This window comes from Homo sapiens, chromosome X, assembly GCF_000001405.40.
Source record: "Homo sapiens chromosome X, GRCh38.p14 Primary Assembly".
NCBI classification, from domain to species: domain Eukaryota; kingdom Metazoa; phylum Chordata; class Mammalia; order Primates; family Hominidae; genus Homo; species Homo sapiens.
In genome coordinates this window covers 73,854,008-73,864,586 of record NC_000023.11, presented here as the reverse complement: position 1 = coordinate 73,864,586, position 10,579 = coordinate 73,854,008, and the positions used below count along the sequence as shown (strand labels likewise).

At 43.9% G+C, this 10,579-nt stretch overlaps 1 annotated feature.

The window, feature by feature from the left end:
• Positions 310–957: an enhancer, noted in NCBI's record as "H3K27ac-H3K4me1 hESC enhancer chrX:73083465-73084112 (GRCh37/hg19 assembly coordinates)". NCBI's record gives its function as "activates a minimal SCP1, AML or CMV promoter by ChIP-STARR-seq in naive H9 embryonic stem cells {active_cell/tissue: H9 hESC(naive)}" and the evidence as "EXISTENCE:reporter gene assay evidence [ECO:0000049][PMID:30033119]".

Below are 10,579 nucleotides of genomic sequence, written 5' to 3'. Positions count from 1 at the left end.
TGTGTTTTTTTGGTGATGTTATGTCTCCTTGGTGTTTCATGTTTCTTGTTGCCTTAAGTTGATGTCTGTGGATTTGAACAATTTGGGACTTGTTTCAGTTTTTATAGAATGCTTTGCCTGGGAAAGCCCTTCACCAATCAGCTCATCCAAATATTCTTGGCAGGCTCTCAGGCGTGATTTGAAGAAAACCTTGTTGCTGGAGTCCTTGAACAAGCTGGCCTACGCCTGGGTCAGTAGGTAGACAGGCCTGACTCCTAAACTGCAGGGTTGAGTCTGGACCTGCATCCACTTGGGTGAACCTGTTAATTGGGACTGCACTGATGAGCCCAGAGCCTGGGTCCATGAGTCTGAGGCTGAGACCTGTGTCTCCAGAGGCAAGCCTGAAGCCTGGTCCACAGAGGCTGATCTAGCACTTGATGGGGTGGGCCTTAGACCTACATCTACAGGGGCTGGGCAGGTGCTGGGATGATCCTGGAGCCTGAGTCCACAAGCACTGGCTTGGCACTGGGGCTGGCCTGGACCCTGAGTCCATAGTGCAGGTCTGGGTCCTGGGCCCACAGGGCCTGGCCTGGATCCTATGTCTGCAGATATAGTCTTGAAGCCTCAGTCCATGGGATCTAGCCCGCCATTGGCGTCTACTACAGTGGGCCTTGACCCTGCGTCTGCTGGAACAAGCCTGGATCTTGTGTTTTCTGGAGCCTGTTTCCACTGGGATCAACCTAGGCTAACCTGGTGCTAGGGCTGGTGTAAAGCCTGGGTTCACAGGGTCTAGTCTGAAGCCTAGGTCTATGGGAACTGACTTTGTGCCTGGAGATCCTGGGGCTGGTCTTAAGCACGGGGCTGTCAGGCTCAGCCTAGAGCTCATGTCCACTTGTCCCAGCCTGGAGGCTGGGTGTGTAGGTGCTGGCCTAGAGGCTAAGACTGTGAGGGCTGGCCTGGGTTTGGATGACTTGAGGGTTCCTGTGACCTGAGTACACTGGGGCAATCTTTAAGCTTGTGTCTGTAGTGGCAAATCCAGCACAGGGGTCTACTGGGACAGGCCTGGACCCTGGGTCTGCTGAAGCTATGAAGCCACAGGGTCCAGCTAGAGTGTGAGGTCATGGGGACTGGCCTGGTGCTGGGCAGGCCTGGAGCCTGTGTCTGTGGGTGCCTGCCTGGTGTTTAAGTCCAGCATTGCTGACATGGTGCTGGAGCAAGCCTGAAACCTGGCACCACAGGGGCTGGCCTGGAGATGGGTTTGTGGGTGTCAGCCTAATGACTAGAGTTGCAGGGAACAGCTGATTGCTGGGGTAGAACTGAAGATTGGGACTGTGGGGGCTGGCCTAGTGGTGAGCTGGTCTGGAGCCTGGGGCTGTTGGGGTTGGCCTGGCTCACTGAGGTTTTTTTAATGTGTAGATTAATGTGTCTTATCAAATTTGGGAAGTTTTTTTAACCATTATTTCTCCCTTTTTTTTAATGCTAGTTCACTCTATCCCCTCCTGAAACTTCCATAATGTGTGTGTTGGCATCTTGATGGTGTTCCATAGGTCCCTCACATTCTCTTCATTTCTCTTAATTATTTGTATTTGTGCCCCTTAGACTGAATAATTTCAATTGACCTATTCAAGTTGTTTCTTTCTATTGGCTGCTCAAATTTTCTGTTGAATGCCTGGAATGAATTTTTTTGTTTCAGTTATTGTATTTTCAGCTCCAGAATTTCTATTTGGTTCCTTTTTATAAGTGCTATTTCTAATGTATAATTTCTGTTTGTTGAGACATTATTCTCTCTGTGTTTTTTAGTTCTTTGTCTATTGTTTCTTTTATGTCTTTGAGCATATTTGAAATATTTAATTTAAACTCCTTGTCTAGTGGAGTGAGGTCAGCATGATGTCAGAGTAGGAGATTCAGCCTTCCTCTCCCTGTGAAGAACAATTCTGCAACTATCCATGAACCAAAATATCTCTGGAAGAGGCTAGGATCCACTTAAGGTGACACAACAATACAGTAGAAGAGAAAACCCAAGAAGAGCCACACAAAAATGGTAATAAGAACAAGTTCATTTCACCTCCATCACTGCATCCTTCATGCTGACACTGCTCAGCATGGAGAGGGACCTCCCTAGCTTAAGTTTGCCTTGCAAGACAAAGCAGAGCAAGGTATAGAACCAGTTTTGCCAGTATTTTAGGACACTGCCTATATGACTAGCTTCAGTTTCACCCCACCCAGATCTCTGGGGGTAACCTGCATAGCTGAGATATCTGGAGACAGCTGAGAACAAAGACAAGGGATGAGGGTTTTTTTTTTTTTTTTTTTTTTTTTTTGAGACGGAGTCTTGGTCTATCGCCTAGGCTGGAGTGCAATGGCGTCATCTCGGCTCACTGCAACCTCCACCTCCTAGGTTCAAGCGATTCTCCTGCCTCAGCCTCCTGAGTAGCTGGGATTACAGGTGCCCACCACCATGCCTGGCTAATTTGTGTATTTTTGGTAGAGACAGGGTTTCACCATGTTGGCCAGGCTGGTCTCGAACGCCTGACCTCAGGTGATCCACCCGCCTCGGCCTCCCAAAGTGCTGGGATTACAGGGGTGAGCCACCGCGCCTGGCCTGGATGAGCTCTTTTAGAATCAGCCAAAAGGTGGAAGTTACTGTGACCCCCAGTGGCCTACCTGACATGGGAAAGCAGCAGACTTCTCCACTGAGGACCCAAACAGCCCCTGGAGCTGCTGTGTAGACCCCACAGCCTTAACTGCTGAGGATTCCTCAGTGTTTGAAATTGTGGAGCCCAGCAGCTTGTCCTGCAGAGGAACATAGCAGCTTTTACTACTGAGAAAAACAAATGCCAGCACACCAGCAATAACCCCCCTGCCACTTTTGCTACTGAAGGCCTTGCAGTTTTCTTCACCTTCATAGTCTTAGGTGCTGGCGTTACCTCCCCTCCCCATTCCCAGGAGCCATGTAGGGCAGGATTGCTATTGCTGCAGTTTCCTCAGCCTGGTGACACAACCCAGGAGCCTTGAAGTCTTTAGGTGCCTAACCAACCACCCTCCTCCCCAAAGCCACCTGAACTGCTTCTGTTGTGGTTGTCCCAGCCCAGGGTACTACTGCAGTGGCCTTCATATACCGCAGGTGCCTAAGACAACCATCCTTTCCAAAGCCACCCCTGATGTTGCTTACATGGGTGCTCTGGCCCAGAGGCCCAGTGCAGCTGTTGCACCTGTGCCTGCAAAGAGCCCCAAAGCCCCTCACCTCAGAAATTGACCCCACATACACTCAAGGCTGATCTCTGCAGGACTACTGCATGCTGCCAGCCCTGGTTCCTGTAGTGGTGCATGCATAAGCCACTGGTCCTGCCCCATGGGTCCTGCATTTATCACCATGCTGCACATGCCTACCCACCTCCAGTTGAGCCCTGCAGTTGCCACACACACACAAACACACACATGCAGACAGCCTGACCCCTGTTGCCACCATGCATCTGGCCCTTGTGATCAGGCATGGGCAACCTGCAGCACCTACCACCACATCTATGCTCACATTCAGGCCCAGCTTCGGCATATGACCCAAGCTCTTGCTACCATGTGTGAGACTACAACAGGCTGCTGCTGCAACCAGACTCCACAGTGGAGCATGTGTACACTTTCAGCTCTGGCCTCCACTGCTGCCAGTCCCAGACCCTAGCTGTTTGTCACATATACATAGCTGAGGACCCCAACAGCCCTCATAATCTTTGCGAAACTCCCACAGCTCTTGACACAAAGGACCATGCAGTTGCCAATGTTGTAGGCATGCCTGAGCTGACTAGACTCGGCCCCTATCTGCCGCCACACCACCAGACCCAGAGCCACACTATGCCCCTGCATTTGGTTTCCTATGGTCTAGACCCAGTGCCACAGTGCACCTAGTATGTCTCCCTTTTTCCTCCTTAGGTAAAGGGCTTTCCTTGCCAAAGCCAGGCCATAATGTCTGAAAGAGGTGACTGCTGCTTCAAAAGTGCAGACACCTTTGCAGGACTACAAGGATGAGGAAGAATCAGGGAAACATTATATTGCCAGAAAAACACAAGAAGCTTTCCAGTGTGTGACCACGAAGAATTGGAGGTACATGAATTGCCTGACAAAGTATTCAAAATAATTGTTCTAAAGAAGCTCAGCAAATTACAAAAAAACAAATATTTTTAAAAGATCAGGAAGACAGAATATGAACAAAACAAGAAGGTAAGCAGAGATTCAAAACTTGAAAAAAGAACCAGATAAATTTTCAAGCTGAACAGTATGATGACTGAAGTAAAAAATACCAAAGATGCTTCAATAGCAGATTACATCAAGCAGAATAACAAATAACTGAATGCAAATATAGATGATTGGAAATCATCCAGTCAGAGAAGAAAAAGAAAAAAAATGAAAAAGTATTAAGAAAGCCTACAGGTCTATGGGACACCACCAAGAAAACTACTATTTGGATACTAAAACTACAGATGGTGAAGAGTGCAAGAAAGAGGCAGACAGCTTATTTAAAGAAATAATGGCCAAAAAGTTCCCATCTGGGAAAAGAGAATATTGAATTACAAGAAGCTCAGGAATATGCAATTAAATTCAACCCAAAGAAGAGTTCATCAAGACACATTACAATCAAACTATCAAAATTCAAAAACTAAGAAAGAATTCTCAAAGCAGCAGAAGAAGCATATCACATACAAGGAAGCTTTAATATGGCTACCATTAGATTTCTCAGCAGAAACCTTACGGGCCAGGAAAGAGTGTGAGGATATATTCTAAGTGCTAAAGTAAAAAATCTGTCAACTAAGACTACTATAATCAGCAAATCTGTCTTTCAGAATTGAATGAGAAATAAAAACTTTCCCAGACATAAGCTGAGGGAATTCATCAAACAAGGCCTGCCTTAGAAATGCTAAACAAAGTTTTCCAATCTGAAAGAACAAGATATTAATGAATGAAATGAAAAGATATGAAAGTATAAAACTTACCAGTAAAAGTAAACACATGGTCAAATTCAGAATACTCTTACACTGTAATCATGGTTCCAAAGTTTTATCATATTGGTGTGGGCAATAATGTTTTAGATATGAACACAAAAGCAGAGGAAATAAAAGTGAAAATAGACAAATGGGATTACATGTAACTAAAAAGCTTCTGCATAGGCAAGGAAACAATGAACAGAGTGGGAGACAACCTTTGGAATAGGAGAATATATTTGTAAACCATACATCCAGTAAGGGGTTAATATCCAGTATACAGAAAGAACTCAAAGAACTCAATATCAAGAAAACAAATAGCTCAATTAAAAAATGGGCACAGGACCTGGATAGACATTTTTCAAAATAAGACTTAGAAATGGCCAACAGGCTGGGTGCGGTGGCTCACATCTGTAATCCCAGCACTTTGGGAGGCCAAGGTGGGCAGATCCCTTGAGGTTAGGAATTCGATACCAGCCTGGCAAGCATGGTGAAACCCCGTCTCTGCTAAAAATACAAAAATTAGCCAGGCATGGTGGCACACGCCTGTAATCCCAGCTACTCGGGAGGCTGAGGCAGGAGAATCACTTGAACCCGGGAGGCAGTGGTTGTAGTGAGCCGAGATTGTGCCACTGCACTCTGGCCTGGGCTACAGAGTGAGACTCTGCCTCAAACAAAAAACAATCAAACAAAAACCAAATAGCAAACAGATATATGAAAAAGTGCTCAATATCAATAATCATCACAAAAATGCACATCAGGCTGGGTGTGGTGGCTCACACCTATAATCCCAGCACTTTGGGAGGCCAAAGCGGGTGGATCACTTGAGGTCAGGAGTTCAAGACCAGCCTGCCCAATATAGTGAAACATCTTCTCTACTAAAAATACAAAAATTAGCTGGGCATGGTGGTGGGTGCCTGTAATCCCACCCGCTCAGGAGGCTGAGGCAGGAGGATCACTTGAACCCGGGAGGCAGAGGTTGCAATGAGCCGAGATGGCACCACTGCACTTTCTGTAGCCTGGGCAACAGAATGAGACTGTGTCTAAAAACATAAATAAATAAGGCCAGGCGCAGTGGTTCACATCTGTAATCCCAGTGTGATTACAGATCACACTGTGGGAGGCCAAGGCAGGCAGATCACCTGAGCTCAGGAGTTTGAGACCAGCCTGGTCAACATGGTGAACCCCCGTCTCTATTAAAAATATACAAATTAGCTGGGCATGGTGGCAGATGCCTATAATCCAAGCTACTTGGGAGGCTGAGGCATGAGAATTGCTTGAACCCAAGAAGTGGAGGTTGCAGTGAACCGTGATCACACCACTGCACTCCAGCCTTGGCGACAGAGAGAGATTCTGTCTCAAAAAAATAAAAATTAAAAAAAAAAAAGAAAGAAAGAAAAAAAAAAGAAAAATGCAAATCAAAACCACAATGCAATATTGCCTCACACCTGTTAGAATGGCTATTTTCAAGAAGACAAAAGTTAAGGATTGGTGAGGGTGTGGAGAAAAGGGAACATTTATACAGTGTTGGTGGAAATATAAATTAGTTCAACCATCATGGAGGCTTCTGAAAACACTAAAAATACAACTACCTTATGATCCAATAATCCCACTTGTGGGTGTTGTTCAAAGAAATTGAAATCAGTGTGTTGAAGAGACATTTGTCCTCCTATGTTTATTATAGCATTATTCACAATAGTCAAGATATGAAATCAAGGTAAGTCCCCATCAACAGATGAATGTATAAAGAAAATGTGGTATACATACACAATGGAACACTAGTCAGCCTTAAAAAGAAGGAAAATCTGTCATTTGCAACAACATATATGAACCTGGAGGACATTATGCTAAGCCAGGCACAGAAAGATGAATACTATATTATCTCACTTGTATGTGTAATTTTCAAAACTTGAACTTGTAGGGAGTAGACTGGTGGTTAATAATCTGAAGGGAGGGTAAAAATGTGTTGATCAAAGGATAAAAATTTTAGTTAGAGAGAAGGAATAAGTTTTTGAGATATATTGCAGAGCATGATGACAATAGTGATAAGGTATTGTACATTTCAAAAACTGCTAAGTAAATTTTAAGTATTCTCATCACAAAATAAGTATGTGAGCTGAGATATATAGTAATTAGCTTGATTTAATTATTCTACAATGCATGCATATATCAAAATACCACATTTTACTCCATGAATATATACAATTATTTGTGAACTAAAAATACATTTGAAAAAGAACTACTAGAAAAACTAAAAATGAGAAAATAAATAAGCACATTAATTAATTAATTAAAATCCTTGTCTAGTAAGTTTAATGTTGGTACTTTCTCAGGGACCATTTTTTGTTAATTACCTTTTTTTCTATATATTAGCTATAATTTCCTGTTTTTTGTATGCCTTGTAATTTTTTAATAAAAACTGCACAGTTTTAATATTATAATGTGATACCTTGGGAAATAAAATTCCTCCCTCTCCCTAGTGTTTGCTGGTGATTTTTTTTTTTTTTTTTTGAGATGGAGTCTTGCTCTGTCACCAGGCTTGGCGCGGTCTCAGCTCACTGCAACCTCCGCCTTCCGGGTTCAAGCGATTCTCCTGCCTCAGCCTCCCGAGTAGCTGGGATTACAGGCGTGTGCCACCATGTGCAGCTTATTTTTGTATTTATAGTAGAGATGGGGTTTCACCATATTGACCAGGATGGTCTTGATTTCCTGACCTCATGATCTGTCTGCCTCGGCCTCCCAAAGTGCTGGGATTACAGGCATGAGCCACCGCACCCGGCCACTGGTGATGTTTTTAATAGATTGTAATTTTTTTTGAGGTAGCGTTTGCTTTCTCACCCAGTCTGGAGTTCAGTGGGGCAATCACAGCCCACTGTATCCTTGAACTACTGGGCTCAATCAATCCTCCTGCTTCATCCTCCTGAGAAGCTAGAACTACGGGTATGCACCACCACGCCTGGCTAATTTTTATATTTTTTATTTTTGTAGAGACAGAGGTCTCTCTATTTTGCCCAGGCTGATCTCGAACTCCTGGCCTCAAAAGATCCTCCTGCCTTGGCCTCCTAAAGTGCTGAGATTAAAGGTGTGAGCCAACGTACCCAGCCCATTTACAGTATTTTTAATGTTGACGTGAACTATGTATACAATTGTTAAGCATATACTCACTGAGCTTTAATATGTATAACCCCGTGTTCTCTTTTGATAAACTAGAAAACCTTTCCCAACATCCTAATACACTTTTGAAGGATATCATAAATAGTGTGTTTGAGGGCTAGAGGAATGGCCCAAGTACTGTGATGAGGTTCATAGGATTTGGGGCTATTTGGAAGACCCTTACAAGGCATATAGCACAACTTTTCTATCTGTTGATTGTCTCTGTAGCATCCTCACAAAATCCACTATTGGCTTGCAGGTCTTCAGAGACTGGCATTCACCAGTTCTGGAGGTGTTAACTGTTCCATCTTTGGACAGCTCAGAGTATTCAGACGTCTTTATTTATTAGAACTACACACAACAGGACTATTCATCAACTTCCCCCATTGCAGACAGCCCTTTGAGTTGTAAAGAGCCCTTCCCCAGGTCTTTTATTTTCTTTTCCATAATATGTCCTGGTCCCTTTAACTGCTTTTCACTGGTGATGATTTGGAGGGCCCCCACCAGCCTGCTAATTAGATCCTGAAGGCTTTATCAAAGTCCTCTTTAAATGGCATAGCCCTGAAGCCAAGGACAGACTCCTGTTTAGTGGGGGGAGGGGCTCTTCAAATTAGAGGGGGTTGAGCACTTTTCTTTGACCCTTTCTTCTGATACTGACCTTGTATGAATCAGACTTTCCCCCCTTTATATCAGATTCTGGTCCTGCCCTGTATACAACTTTGGCTCCTTTCCTGCAGACAGGCTCAGTGCTTCTTTGGTGATTTTATGCTGCCATCTGGTGGCTAAGTCGACAGTGCCGGCTTTTTTTGGGCCTAATTTAGCAGAGGAGAGGATGTACAGATGAACATAGTGACAATCCTAGAACTGGAATAATCTGAATCTTTAAAAAGAGGACCTGATTTCTTCCTATTGTGTGCCATGTGATTGGGAGCCCAAAGAAGAGGATGCTAACACAGCTATGGCATGGCCACAGAAAATATGCCTGAAATATCCCCATCAGAGCCCAACTCTTACTAGCTAATTGACTTTGAGCAAGTCACTTTTCCTTCTAGTGTCTCAGTTTCCATACTTCTGATCCTAACAGGTTTATAAAATGGAGCCAAGCAGTAGTGAAGGTGAGGCCAGGTCGGGAAGAGGAGGAAGTAAAGTGAATTGAAAGCTAGTGAGGGCAGGGGAGTAAGTAAAACCTGAAGGTGATAAATGGCAGAAGAGGGCAGGACTGCTCTAGGGCAAAGGCCTAGGCAAATATTTTTCAGAAGTTCCTTTTAATGTAAACAGTTTGATTAAAAATATATTACAAATACATGGGCCCATGTGAGGTGTAGTGATTTATCAATGAAAATTTAGAATACCAGGTGGAGAAGAGATGCTTACGTATTTGTTTATTCAACAGTTCACATATCAATTTTTATAATGACCTTGCACCATATCTTCCTTTTTAGGTCCAGAAATCATCTCTTTGTGTTTATTGTCAAATGCACCATTCCTGGCTAATTTCACATCTCCCTCTATGAGAAAAACATAGCAACACTGTACTACTTCCATTTTTGCAATGGCACTCTGGAACCTCTTTGTATTGAAATTATAAATTTCTTGCTTTTGCAGTTTCTTTAGCCTAAGGGTCAACAGTGGATTTAGGTAGGCCACAGCTCTGAACATGTCCTGTGTCCAATGTGAGTGTCACCCCATAACGGCACATCAGCACCATTTTGCATGCCTAGCCTTAAGAGTTACCATTTAAAAAACTCCAATGACAACCAATGAGAGTGATCTGCTAGCGTGGCTGCCCACCTGGAACCAGGGCCTGGTCACAGAAACCCAGGACAACCAGTTTATAAATTGTCTTTTTGCCTTTTTATTTGAAAAGGTATTTTTGTGAAACAAAAGGTTTTAATTTCAGAGTCAAATTTATCAATCTTTTATATTTGATGCTACTTGAGTCTTTAGAAAATTTTTCCCCAACTAAATTTCTTTTTTCTTTTTTTGAGATGGAGTCTTGCTCTGTCGCCCGGGCTGGAGTGCAGTGGCACCATCTCGGTTCACTGCAACCTCCGCCTCCTGGATTCAAGTGATTCTCCTGCCTCAGCCTCCCAAGTAGCTGGGATTATAGGTGCCTGCCACCATGCCCGGCTAATTTTTGTATTTATAGTAGAGACGGGGTTTCGCTATGTTGGCCAGGCTGGTCTCAAACTCCTCACCTCAGGTGATCCAGCCACCTCGGCCTCCCAAAGTGCTGGGATTACAAGCATGAGCCACCGCGCCCGGCCAACCAAATTTCTTAAAAGTATAGAACATTTCCACACTTGTAGAAACTTCTAGTAGATAAAGTTGTATTAGAGGTTTGGTAATCCAGTCTTTCTGATAGCTGCTTCATAGGTGTCACTGTAGGTAGTTTCTCTCTTTGTTAAGCATTGTTTTCTCAAAGGTACCATTGTATTGCACCACTTTACAATACAATAACCCTCATTTGGAATGAC